This window comes from Homo sapiens, chromosome 14 (genome assembly GCF_000001405.40).
Source record: "Homo sapiens chromosome 14, GRCh38.p14 Primary Assembly".
NCBI lineage: Eukaryota > Metazoa > Chordata > Mammalia > Primates > Hominidae > Homo > Homo sapiens.
The window spans coordinates 19,945,532-19,960,401 of record NC_000014.9 but is presented as its reverse complement, the minus strand read 5'-3'; the positions used below and the strand labels follow the sequence as shown (position 1 = coordinate 19,960,401).

General features: G+C 36.1%; 1 long non-coding RNA gene and 1 pseudogene across 1 annotated transcript in view; one reads left to right on the top strand and one right to left on the bottom strand.

Moving 5' to 3' along the window:
- OR4K16P (olfactory receptor family 4 subfamily K member 16 pseudogene) lies at positions 2,848-3,855 on the bottom strand (annotated as a pseudogene).
- LOC124903278 (uncharacterized) overlaps positions 11,668-14,870 on the top strand; it is a 46,274-nt gene continuing 43,071 nt past the window's right edge. The window contains exon 1 of the long non-coding RNA XR_007064055.1: positions 11,668-11,715. This is a non-coding gene — a long non-coding RNA (uncharacterized LOC124903278). The remainder of the gene's footprint in view (positions 11,716-14,870) is intronic.

Here is a 14,870-nt window from a genome sequence, read left to right as displayed (position 1 = left end):
AAATTCTAAAAACATATAATGAGTAAGAGAACATATGCGAATGTTCTCTTGGTATGAGTCTTGGCTATGTGTCTTGATTTTAACCTGTTAAGAGATATTAACACACTTAAAGAAAGACTATATTCAGCCCCAATTACATGGATAAATAACAGTGGGAGTAATTAAGATAATGGATAACAGTGACTATCTCAACATTGTTAAGGTAGATATTTTTCTTTTTTTTTTTTTTTTTTTTTTTTTTGAGACGGAGTCTCGCTCTGTCGCCCAGGCCGGACTGCGGACTGCAGTGGCGCAATCTCGGCTCACTGCAAGCTCCGCTTCCCGGGTTCACGCCATTCTCCTGCCTCAGCCTCCCGAGTAGCTGGGACTACAGGCGCCCGCCACCGCACCCGGCTAATTTTTTGTATTTTTAGTAGAGACAGGGTTTCACCTTGTTAGCCAGGATGGTCTCGATCTCCTGACTTCATGATCCACCCGCCTCGGCCTCCCAAAGTGCTGGGATTACAGGCGTGAGCCACCGCGCCCGGCCAAGGTAGATATTTTTCTAACAAGCTTTCAGAGTCTGGTAATCTCACACATGCCAATCAAATAACCAAAACTTTTCAATTTAACACAGATTTATCAAACCACTCCCAAGTAATCTGACTTCTGTTCTAATCATGATGCTTTGGTTAATTAATTTCACAAACATTTTTTAATGTAATTTGACAAATTTCTTCTTCAAATTTCTTGCAATTAACAATTTGGGGTTTCTAGTATGACTGTAAGTATGGGGTCAAAACTTAAACTGGCACAATTCATTAAGTTAATGTCACTTATCTGATTTTCTGGTGGTTTGCCAGTAAATGTCTTCTCCTGGCCATGTAATTCTGCAACCCTTATAAAGATCAAGTCCTTTTTCATTATACATTTCTGTGATTTTCTGCTCTTTAATATACAATCACTTCTACAAGGCCAAAGGTCTTTCTTCATCTCTTTTATGTGTACACATATTCTGATATAAGTTAAATTTTAAAAATTGCTCACATGCATTGAGTTGCTTTGGACAAAACTGAGCATTAACACACTGGGATTATTAGGTTGGTGCAAACAAATTGAGGTTTTTGCAACTACTTTTAGTTGTGAAAACTGCAATTACTTTTGCACTAACCTAAAAATTCAGTGTGTGTTTTATTATATGTTCTACTTGCTTTTATTATCTGTTAATAAACATTTTATTGCTGTCCTGATAAGCTTAAAAGCTTTTATGGAACAAGGGCCTATGACTTTTGCCTCTTTACTTAGATAGCTGGTACTGCCCATTATAATTCTATTGACAGAGACCTTTAATCGATGTCAGTTTAGTAAAGTAGCACCCAATGAAGTAATTCCACATGTGGAAAACTAAATGCAAAAACAAGATCAGATTGTTACAGAGTGCAATGACCCACATAAGCTAAGACTTAGAGATGGACAATCTAGTTTTTCACTGGCTTCCAACCTCATCACTCCAAATGCCACATTTGTAAAAAGCCAAGTGTAGAAATCACCTGAATATCAATTGCTCTGGGTAGCATATCCTTTTTATGACACTTGCTGCATGTGCTTGCATGTTAAACTTTTGATACATTAACAACTATGGTAAAATATAGGACAATATTTGCCTTAGGGACTCACAATCTATTTTAAGTAATAAAAATAAAACACATAATCACATCTTTAGTTCAAAAATTACAAGTTTGAATTGAAAGCTATCATAAACAGAATAAACTCTTCAAGCTCGAATTATATGGTGCAGTGATGACAGTGCCAGATTCTGTGGCTGATAAAAGACTGAATCAATCATGCGATGACCCTCTTTCTCTTATTCTTTCCAACGTTTGATGAGCAATTTCTGAAGTTTCAATTAAAGTTTGAGAAGAAGAGAAGCATGTGATATATTTTCTAATTAGCAATATATATATTTTCTGCAACTACTTTGAAAATTACACTCCCAAATGAAATTAACTAAAGAAAATCACTGGCTATTCAGATACCTTGCAGTCATTGTCAATTGATGACAGGTTATTATTAGTGATATAATGAGGTTTGTAATTGCTCTTTCTTCCAGAGAGTGTAAGAGTAGTCTTGTAATTTTAACTATGAACTTGGTTATATTTATAGTCCTGTAATTGATACTGTAGCATTTTATATATTTAAATTCTAGCACAAATAATAAGTATGACAAAAGACATGTTTGATAAGCATTAATGCCTTATTTGTGAATATAAAATTTTACCTTTATAACAATAAGGTATTAGCCAGAATAATTATGAACTGTAACTGATGAGGTAAAGCAGCACTTTTTAGAATCTTCATATCGCCTTTTATTTCAAAGCAAATTCTGTTTTAACTCAAATAATGCTAAATTATTCTCTATGTTACCCAGAGTGAATCACATGAACTAGCTAATCTTCTTTAATATAGAGCTGATTTTTAAATGTTGCAAGAGATTTTTTTTTGACAGGGTCTCACTGTGTTGCCCAGGCTGGAGTACAGTGGCACAATCTCGGCTCACTGCAGCCTCGACCTCCTGGGCTTGAGTGATCCTCTTACCTCTACCTCTCAGAGATAATTTTTTATGGTGCCTGTTTAAGAGGAAAAACTGCTTATGGGTTTTAATACTTGTAGATGCAGCTTTAGGGAGGATGATGTGAGACACAGAATATAGGAACTGGCATCATAAGATTCTGCACTGTGTTTGCCAACTCCAGATCACCATATTCAGGCCCTCTAATTTAGTCTAGTAAAAAAACTATTTGTGATACAAACACAATAATAATAATCACATATGTTAATTTCAAAGCCCAAAAGTAGGAATTTGTATTACTTCTTTGTAGTTGTCTAAAAACCCTGCTTGGAACCCACATGTCATCTCCTTAGCTTCCTCATGGCTTCCTTTATATCTTTATTCCTCAGAGTATAAATCATGGGGTTAAGGAGAGGAGTGAAGACAGTAAAAAAACACAGAGATAAATTTATCAATTGGGAAGCTTTCAAAGGGCCAAATATAGATGAATATTAATGGGCCAAAGAAGAGAAGCACAACAGTAATGTGGGCAGACAGAGTGGAAAGGGCCTTGGACATCCCATCAGAGGCTTGGCGATGCACAGTAGCAAGGATGATAGTGTCAGAAATGAGCAAAAGGAGGAAACACATAAGTGAGAGCAGACCACTGTTAGTGAGCACCAGTATCTCAAAACCATAGGTGTCTAAGCAGGCAAGCTTGATCACTAGGAGGAGGTCACAGAAAAAATTGTCTACCCTGTTGGGTCCACAGAAAGGCAGATTGACTTTGAATGCCAGGTGGGTGGCTGAGTGTGAGATGCCAATGGCCCAGGAAACCCCCACCAGAACAGTTCACACCCTCCGGTTCATGATGGTCATGTAGTGCAGAGGTTTGCATATAGCAATGTATCTATCATAGGCCATGGCAACAAGAAGCACCATCTCACTACCCCCAAAAACATGCAAGAAAAAGATTTGTGACATGCATCCCTGGAAAGTGGTGGTCTTGTGTTCGTTGAGGAAGTCTGCAATCATCTTGGGAGTGGCAAATGTAGCCTGACACACATCGATGGAAGAGAGATTGCTAAGAAGAAAGTACATTGGGGAATGCAAATGAGAGTCTATAATTACTGTGATGATGATAAGGATGTTTCCCAACACTGCAGCTCCATAAAACACAGAGAAGATAAAGAAAAAGAAGACTTGGAGTTCCCAAGAGCTAGACAGCCCCAACAAATTGAATTCAGTAACCACTGATTTATTACTCCATCCATTAACTGAATCTGAGCTGCTGAAGTTATCTAGAGGGAAGAAAAGATAATTAAGATGGATTAAGAATAAGCTTTTTACCATTTTGCAAATCAAATAGATGCTTTGATTCTAATATAAAAATAAAATGGTGAGGCTATAAGACAAAGAGTATTCACATGATTGTTAGGAATTAATATTTTCCCTGGGCTCACTTAGATAATTATATGAATTATTATTTACTTTTGCCTTTATGCTTTGCAAGATAGATAGATGGATAGAGAGAGAGAGAGAGAGAGACAGAGAGAGAGAGAGTTTTTATCTAACAGATAAACCTATATAGAAAGAGAGAAATTGAGAGACAGCAATATTTGCCATTGAATTCTAAAATGTTTTTGTAGAAATGTGCAATACCTTAATAGAACTTTGAAAATCATACATACTGTACTTACACATTCAGATTATTAATAGTTGAAAATGAGGAGTCTAGCACCATTTACAGAATCTTGAAGGGACAGGCAATTTAGGCCAGGTGTAAAGATATGGAAATCAGTCCAGTTACTTTGATAAATGACAACAAATAAAGGAATGGCATGAGGCCATGTATTTGAGGTGTCTGCAGCAATAAGAATAGATTGAAATTAATTTGTAACAATTGAACTAGTGTGAGTGAGATATTGCATTTGCTTTTCTGTATCAAAAAATGTAAAGTATACAACAGTGAGTTAAATAATTTAGCAATGACAGATGTATCTTCCTAGAATCTCAGAAGCATACATCCTCTTTAATCAAAAGTGATTCTTTTAGTATCACAGTTGTACTCTTTACCCTTACCATATGATTCCTCTTTTACAGAAGCTAAATTTAATATTATTTAATATGATTGGCTACCTGCTCTTCAAAGATGGGACTAAATTATCTGAGAACCTGCCCCGATAGTCACGTAGGTTCTTTTTCTATATTCCCTAAGCATTGACCGGTTTGAGAAATAAAGGGACAGAGTACAAAAGACAGAAATTTTAAAGCTGGGTGTCCGGGGGAGACATCACATGTCGGTAGGCTATGTGATGCCCCACAAACCACAAAACCAGCAAGTTTTTATTAGGGACTTTCAAAAGGGGAGGGAGAGTGTGAATAGGTGTGGGTCACAGAGATCACGTACTTCACAAGGTAATAGAATATCACAAGGCAAATGGAGGCAGGGCGAGATCACAGGACGACAGGACTGGGGTGAAATTAAAATTGCTAATGAAGTTTCGGGCACCATTGTCATTGATAACATCTTATCAGGAGACAGGGTTTGAGAGCAACTGGTCTGACCACAATTTATTAGGCAGGAATTTCCGCTTCCTAATAAGCCTGGGAGTGCTATGGGAGACTGGGGTTTATTTCATCCCTACAGTTTCAACCATAGAAAACAGCCACACCCATGGGGGCCATTTCAGAGACCCACCCTCAGGGGCGTATTCTCTTTCCCAGGGATGTTCCTTGCTGAAAAAAAAAATTCAGCGATATTTCTCCCATTTGCTTTTGAAAGAAGAGAAATATGGCTCTGTTCCCCCTGGCTCACCGGCGGTCAGAGTTTAAGGTTATCTCTCTTATTCCCTAAACATTGCTGTTATCCTGTTATTTTTTCAAGGTGCCCAGATTTCATATTGTTCAAACACACATGCTCTATGATTTGTGCAGTTAATGCAATTATCACAGGGTCCTGAGGCGACATACATCCTCCTCGGCTTACGAGATGACAGGATTAAGAGATTAAAGTAAAGACAGGCATAGGAAATCACAAGGGTATTGATTGTGGAAGTGATAAGTGTCCATGAAATCTTCACAATTTATGTTTAGAGATTGCAGTAAAGACAGGCATAAGAAATTATAAAAGTATTAATTTGGGGAACTAATAAATGTCCATGAAATCTTCACAATCCACGTTCTTCTGCCATGGCTTCAGCCAGTCCCTCCGTTTGGGGTTGCTGACTTCCCACAACACTAAATGCAATTTCAGATAGCATAATAGATTTTCTAATTAAATTTATATTTGAACTACTTACCTTTGCTAATGATTTCACAGCCTCTTCTTTCTGTAATTGAGCTAATATCACAATAACAGAAGAGTTTTCCAAGGCCTATTGAATAGCATCTCTGATGTAATTAATTCATTCAACAAATAATTATAGATTGTCTTTTCTGCACCACACAGTTTTATAGACCCTGGAGACAAAGCAATGGGAGAAAAAAATAATAAAAACTGTCCCATCCTCATGTAACTTGCATCCTAAAGCTGTGGGGGTGGGTGGTGTTGGCACAAGCAATTAAAAATAAATAAGTAAAATATGTATTATATCAGTTAGTGACATCTAACTGACATGATATATATATTTATGAATTAAGAGGGGAGAAGTTGAGAGACAGCAAAAAGAGAAAAAAAGATAGTTTGGTAATGAAGATAACTACCTTTGTCAAAGGAAAATATTTATGGAATAGTGCCATGGAGCAAATAAAGCAGAACAAAGGAATATGGACTATAACCAGGTGATCAGTAACAGCCTCACTAGGCAGGTTACATTTCAGAAAGACTAAAGAAAAATGAGGAGCAAGCCTTGAGGAATTCCACTTCAGACCAATAACATAGCAAGTATATGCAATACCTTATTTGTGAAAAATAAACATTCCCTTGGGAAACATCATTGTAATTTTGCAAGTTTATTAGAAATTAATTAAATGAAAATTTAGTTTTTAACCTTATTATGGACTTGACATGCAAAATTGGCTTTTTTGAATAATATTCTCTTCATAGGCTTAGGCATGTTTGTAATTTTAGGGAACCATAAATTTAGTCTCAACATATAGATACATACTAACATTTTCGTTTTTTTTCTAGAACGAAATATGGATATAAAATTGTTTTTCAAATTATGTATTGACATTTGTATCCATATGTATATATGTCCATGTACAGAATTTGAAAACAATTTTATAATTTTAAGTGCATGATGCTAATTTTATCTAATTGTATTCAAAATAAAATTGAAACAATCTGTTTTCTCAAAAAAGAGCCCTTGAAAATGAAATTCATAGCCAGATCCCCGAAGCTACATGGAGCTCCCTGTGTGTCTACAGTCATAGTCAATAGTTAGTTGAGACAGATACTCATGGAATGACTTTCAAATATTGAGATCATTAAAACTATAAAAATTAGTAATTGATTTTTTGGTATTACCTCACAGAATCAGATGCCTTTTAAAGTATCTGATATATGTATACAAAGCCTGACAAAAATGTGCAAACTGATGTGTGTTGAGTCAAAATTGTCTAAAACCATTTCAGTTTGTCTGCAACTTGGTTCTACAAGTACAGGCAGAATTTCTCTAAAATCATTCTAAAAATATTTTTCCATAGTAAGAGATGATCATATTCCATATTAACAGTTGTGGATTAGTCAGTCTTCTTGGAAAGGCAGAGTGTGAATTTCCTCAAGATGCCTTAATATAAGAACACAGAATTTGAGATCAGATCTGGGTTTAATTTCTGGCTTCACTACTTACTCTGTGATAGTGTTTGTTCATTCATTCCAACTTCTTGAGTACCTTTGGTGATTATGGGCCAAAAACTCTGCAGGCCCAGAGAGATAATGATGCCCAAAACAGATAGGATTAATGTCCTTGTGCAATTTACTGGAATTCTCTAAACTTTTGAGTCCTTATTTGTGATAGTGCACATTTCAAAGAGCTGTGTAAACTATAAAGTATATTCTAATTGAAAATTACATAATATAGTTTTACTTTCTTACAAGTAAAGCCAATCTGAATAGAAAAATATTTGCTTCTGAGAAGATTAACAAACTAAGAGACTTTAAAAGACCAAATAAGATTAAAATGAAATATTAGAATAAAGTCATTATTTTCTAGAATAAACCTATCATTTATTAAAACATTGGAATACAAATCTGACAAAAAGGAAAGTAGACACTGAAGAAAAACCACATAGCGTTCTTTACAATTCTCCATTCACCAGTTAGCTACTTCCAACCTTTAGCATTCTTCACCTCTAACTTATTTAAAAAAAGTAAATGCAGTAAACTAGAGCTAGAATTAGGTTACAAATGGATATCATTGTGAAATAGGGGAAGACATTCTTTGATGTTTCATTATTAACTCTACTTCAGATTTCAAATACAGAGTTAAATAATGCCTTGTCTTGGACATCAGGTTATACTGGAAATAAACTTCTCTAATGGGATTAACACCCCATCCTTAGTACCTGATTTGGAAATTAATTGCAGGTCTCTGCCTAAGGTAATGATAAACCGAATGTGAAATAAAACTTCCATTTAAAGGAGAAATGTGAAATTTGTATGAAGTACTTTCTGGACTCAGAAATTAATTTGAGCAAGGAGCTTTAACTAAAAGCATTCTGGTCAAACAGGAAGGAAGAAGCAAAGGTTATAAGGCAAGAGGTCAAATTGTAGAATCTTCTGTGGCTCAAACTCTAGATTGCACAGCCCAGATTAACAAATAGGTACATGTAAAGGTCTTAGTGGTACAGATGTCAGACATGAAAAGAATCAATCAAAGTTGTAGAAGAGAAAGAAGATAGTTTGGTAATGAAGATAATCATTTATGGGAAGAAACCGGCTTCTTACTATGTAGATAATTAAGTTGAATAAAGGCTTTTGGGTATGACGAGATTGATTTAGTTATCTTACAGTGATATGTGACCAATAATTACCTTATTATCCTTACAATGCTATAAAGTAAATATTACTATAATCCTAACTTTGTGTTAGAAGCAGCTACAATTTAGTGCTAAAGTTAGTGTCACAAGGCACACTGGTAGTCTGAAGATTTGAATGTGCAAAGAACATATGTTTAACTGCTACATATTGCTCAATTAAGGATCTGATTACTGAAAACATCTATCTAAGGATGTCTACCTGGTCACTAAAATAATTTATCAGTATTATTATTATTTTAAGAGACAGGGTCTTGCGCTGTCACTCAGGCTGTAGTGCAACTATGTGATCATGGCTCACGGCAGCCTGGACCTCCTGGCCTCAAGTGATCCTCCCACCTCTAAGATAACAAAGTAGTGCCCAATTATATTCTCTGCTCTTTCTGAACTATACATCAACATGCTCACTTTTATCTTGCTACTTCAATCCCATGCTTGTGTTAGCAGTGACAATAATCAGTCAAAACAGCAATAATTCGCTGTTTTGTTTTATATTAGGCTCTCACGCCCAAACCCCAAGTCCTCATGCTCAAAAACACAGGTTGCCTTGACTGTGGTAATAACTTTAGCCCAGAATCCCTTTATCTCTCTGAATGGCAACATGTACAGTTGCTTTTAAGCTTGATGCGATTAAATTCCACATACCAATTTTGAGATAAATCTCAGGAAAGTAACAACAGGGTGAAGAGAAGATGCTTCCAAAACTTTTTAAAAAATAATTTTAAAAAGAGAATCACAGGAGCCTATAAAGGAACTATTTAAATATCATGACACTCCCAAAAGTCTCAGATAACCAATCCCATGAATTGCGAAAGCCAATTAAAAAATGAACTTTGTTAAGTGAATTCATCTTGCTATGGGAGTTATTAACAATATTTTGGTTGCTTCTCCCCCATATCAAGATGGTAAGAACTTTTAAATTGTTTGCCTATAATTGCAAATGAGAACATATGTCATGAGAGAGAAATGTAGTGACCTCAAAGTTTGCAACAACTATATTTGCCCTCATTTAATGTTCTGCCTCTATCCATGTGCTTTCTTTGTCCTTATCTAAAGTGACTGTGCCAGTAAGCACTAGCACACATGCACAGGGCCTAAAGAAAATTAGATCCAAAGAAATATAAATCTGGCAATGGGTCTAAGAAAATTAGAATTTTGCTTTCTCTAATCTTATATTTCTTCCTTTTCTTGAAAATTTTTATGTCAAAGGTTTTCAAATTCCATACCACACAATATTTTGCCAAAATTATCCAATATTTTAATTATCACTACACAGTACTTGACCATATAACAGAATCAGAAAAGAATCTTAGACATAAGTGGGTAAAACTGCCCAGATATAAAAATAGCTTGCTTTTGGATATTGTGGAAACATATCCCATTAGAGCTGTAGAAGGACTTAGGAAATCTACAGAGAAGAGCAGGGGACAAAGACAAAAGTAAATGTTGTGACACAGAGTGAGTGCCCAGGAAGTTTGATGAGCTTAATTGAGGAGAGGAGCCCAGTCATCAGCCCAGACTGATAGATCACGTTTCTTCTTCACATCTTCTCTTTAATTTTCACAGTCATTTCAATTCTTCTGTTTCCAAATCTAGTCCTCCTTTAGTCTCCCTTAACCCAGGTAATGGCATTTCTATTGCCCCAGTGGTTTCAGCCAGAAACTTCACTTCTTCTATTTTCTCACTCCCACTTCCAGTCCTGCTGTACCTTTCTCTAAAATATGCCCAATCCATCAAAGCTTTCTATTACAATTTCCCTTGTCTAAACCATCCCTTTCTTTCTCCTTAAATGTTTCAAAGGCCTTCTAATAATCTCCAACTCTCTGCACTGATTTTTTTTTCCAGTCAATTTCTCCTGAATGCTCAGAGCAGTCTTTAAAAATAAGATAAATCTTTAAAAATAAGATAAATAAGTCAAACAACTTTAAAATGATAAACATGCAGTCATTCCTCTGTATATGTGGGTTCTGTGTCTATGGATTCAATCAATCACGGATCAAAAGTATTTAGAAAAAAACAATTCCACAGATCTTCAAAATCAAAACTGAAATTTGCAACACATCAAGTACTACATTGAATTCACTTAAAAGAAGTGATATGTAGACATCGTATTAGATATTATAAGTAATTTAGAGATGATTTAAAAGTATACGGGAGAATGTGCATAGGTTATATGCAAATGCTACACCACTTTATACAAGGGACTGAAGCATCCATGGGTTTTGGTATCTGCGGGGGTCTTGGAACCAATTCCCCGTAGACACCAAGGGACCATCATAGTCCCCATTGCTCTAGAAATATAATCCAATATCCATAATGAGCCCTTCCTATCCTGTATTTTACATATTAACCTTCAGCTTCATTTCGTCTCACTCATTGGTCATTCACTAAATTCCTGCTTTCATTTTCTGGAACACACAATCCCTTTCCACTTTAGGGAGTTTCCATTTCTCTTTTGTCTGCTTGAATATTGTTTCTTTTGGCTCTTCTATTGTATATCCTTCCCACAGAAACTAAATAGAAGGTTATTCATTACACAGAGCACAGAGAGGCTTTTTCTGAGTACCATTCCCCCCTCTTCACTCCTTTGTTTTTTCTCATCTCGCAACATTATTTACTACCTTCATAACACTCATTAAACTTTTAATTTGCTCATTTGATTTTCTTACATGTCTTTGTTTCTCTCTCCTTTCTGCATCTCCACTCCAAGACTGTGGGACTCATGTGGGTAAAAACTGAGTGTCTTAGGATCACTATCATCTCCCCAACACCTGGCCCAGAACCTAGCAAATAGTAGATACCCACAGAATATTATTGATTCACTGAATAAATGAGTGTACAAGTGGCCATGTGGTGGTTACTTTTTACTTTTCAAAAATACCATAAAACTCTTTTTTTAAAAAATGAGAATGTTATAATGGGGTCATACATATGTTTTTACTGACACTGGCTTCTTTTACTCAACATAATGCCTTTGAGATTCACCCCAGTTACTCTGTGAATCAATAGTTGGTTCTTTTAAATTGATGAGTGGTATTCTGCACTGACTCTGGACTTGGCCATGTGTCTTGTTCTGCCGAAAGGAATAATAGCACAAGAGAATTTTGCATTGGGACTGCCCTCTATTGTTACTATGGGAATACTGAGGCCACCATGGAATCGAGCCTAAGCCAGTCTTTTGGAAGACAAGAAGCAATGATGTCCTGGTAAATGTTTAGGAGCTGGTTCATGGGGTAAAGGGGGAAGAGAAGGCTCTGATTTGTAGTATTTTCCAATGTCTGTGGTAAAAATACTCCCACTATGGCAGATTTCAAGCCACCAAGTGTATAATAACTACCTCACAAAACCCCTGATAATATAAAACAAGCTCTCATTCAGGTATAAGTCAGCTCCAGCTGATGACAGATGAGAAACCATGTGGAGAGAATTTGGGGCCTGGCTGACAGTAAACCAGCTCATGTTGCTAACCTGGCAACTACCAGACATATGAGTGTGGTCAGTATAGATTGTCCAGCTCACCCAGACTTACCAGACATCCTAGTAGAGGTCAAACGTATTGGCCCAGACCAGAAAAGGTACTCGCCTGGTTTGTGAACAAATATAAAATGGTTCCTAGTTTAATTCAATAAATTTTGAGGTGGCTTAATATGGAGCAAAATCTAATGAATACAATTGGCTATCATTTCATTCCTTATCACCAATGGGTATCTTGAATATTATAAATAAACAAATGATAAGCAGTTTCTGAAAAAAATGAGTCTGCACGGCACATGAAAAGTAGTAAAATTTTTGTTTTGCTGAGATAAGTGGCTACATTGTTGTCATATTGCTAGTGTACTGCTAGGTTCATGTGGAACATGAATTTTTTTTTTAAACAATGAAAATATGGGTTGTAATACCAGGAGTAAAAATGAACTGTTGACATTGGCATCCCATCCTAGTTGATGTTGCATTTTTTTCTTTTCATTATGTGTTGTTATGACAATTGTTATAGAACATTTCACACAAGTTTCCTGTAATAAACTGTATGTTAACACTAGTGGTCAGTGTTGAGAACCAGACCCAAAACCGAAACCAAATATTTGAAACACAAAGATTTAGAGATATTCTGCTCCTTTTCTTTTAAGAAAAGACAGAATTTAAATCATCCTGGTGGCACAATAGGAGCTGAGCTAATTTTTTAAATTGAATTTTAATGCCGGATAATTTGCATATAAATGAACTGAAATAGACCGCTCAGAATTAGGTCCCTTCTTGTACAGTTGGACAGTGAAGAGATTTAACCATTATGGTCCTATGTAATGATAAGGGAAAGAAAGCACAGAAGACAGCCTTGATCATCATTCTCACACCCTAGAACAAGATATTTGGATTTTCTTCTTTACATGGGCTCTTAGCATATGTATATATGTACTCTATAAACTCATTTCCTACTTTGTAAACCAAATCCATTACCATTAGTATGAATTCCTTCAACTTTCTCTCTTAAGTATCTAACTTTCTTTTTTTTTTTTTTTTTTTTTTTGAGACGGAGTCTCGCTCTGTCGCCCAGGCTGGAGTGCAGTGGCGGGATCTCGGCTCACTGCAAGCTCCGCCTCCTGGGTTCACGCCATTCTCCTGGCTCAGCCTCCCAAGTAGCTAGGACTACAGGCGCCCGCCACTACGCCCGGCTAATTTTTTGTATTTTTAGTAGAGACGGGGTTTCACCGTTTTAGCCGGGATGGTCTCGATCTCCTGACCTCGTGATCCGCCCGCCTCGGCCTCTCAAAGTGCTGGGATTACAGGCGTGAGCCACCGCGCCCGGCCGTATCTAACTTTCTTAACACATCATCTCCCAACTATAAACTCATCTCTTCCCATTTGTACCCTAAATTCTTGAAATCAGCTATTACATCATGTCAGTTGTCCCCAGGTCATCATTTCCTATTGATTTCTCTTGAAGTTTTCTTTAGTTGTTTGTTTCATTCTCCACCCTTTTCTATTCTAGGCCCCTGTTGGCTCACTAGCATGGCTACATTATCTGGGCTTTTCTGCCTCTAGCCTTTATTGAGATTGGAGAATAAAAGGAGCTGGCAGGAGATTAGAGGGAAAAAGGAGAGAAAGGTCTGGATTTTACTTCTGTTTCTCCTCCCTGCCACTTCGCTAGAATTCTTCTAGTAATCTATCCCTGAGTATTTATACCTTGTAGGTCCCTTTATGGCTCTAGCTCTCAACAATTTCTAACCCTCTTCTTGTCTCTTCAGGCCAAGAGTAATAAAGCTTCCTGCTGGTTCTGGTGTTAGGATGCCTCATTTAATCCTGCCAAGATTTTTATGGATAGTTGATTCTCATATTATATTGAAAATCTTTGCCAAATATGTTTTGTGTTTTCTTCGGTGACCTTGGCTAATACACTTCTTGACCCATTGTAATGGATCCGCTTCTTGCTCAACACTTACAAAAATGTGACCTACCAAGCTATTTCACTAAATAAATGGCTTCTGGTTTTAGGGGGAATTTTGTCATTCTCCTGTGAGAAGGTGCTAAAGGTAGTTATTTTTTTAAATAGCATGTTTTTTTCTGTATATTTTTCTATATATTCAATTACCTACTGAGAATCTCCACTTGTTTTTATATACACACTTCAAATTCATTATGGACAATAGTCAACTTATCTTTCCCTTATATGACAAATAATAAAGACATTTTTTAAATGAATGAACTCCTGGAGTTGTGTATTGTCTTGCTAGCTCCTCAAGCAAGAAAATTTTGCACCAATTTTGTTTCTCCCTTACCGTCAAATGTAGTCAAGTAATAGGCATTATCTGTATAAACTTTAAATATTTCTGAGTCTGTTCAATTCTGTTTTATTATGATACTCATTACACACTGGATTGATGCAGTAGGTGTCATCAACTTATCTCATTATCTTTAAGATTTTTTATCTGTAATGCATTTTCTGTAACCTATCAAATTGCTTAGTCTAAATATATAACATTAAACCTCCTAAAATACCTCAATCTTTCCATTGTCCTTTTAGCAAAGTTGAGATTTCTTAGTAAGACTTACAACATCATTCTAAAATTGATTTTTCTACCCAGGCTTATATCTCACTCTCTTTGTGATTGGTTTGAGTAATTCTAGCTAATGTAACAAAATATCATAAAATTTTAGGTACTTAGCCACATGAAATGATATATCTGCTCATGTAACTATGCTCAGTAGTGTTATGGTTGGTGACTGGTCACCTGTCAGAGATTGAGCAACCCAGGTTTCTTCCATCTTTATTTTTGAAGTTTTATTTTGCTTTTAATTGTCACATAATTGCACATATTTATGGGGCACAATGTGATGTTTCAATACATGCATATATTCAGTGATG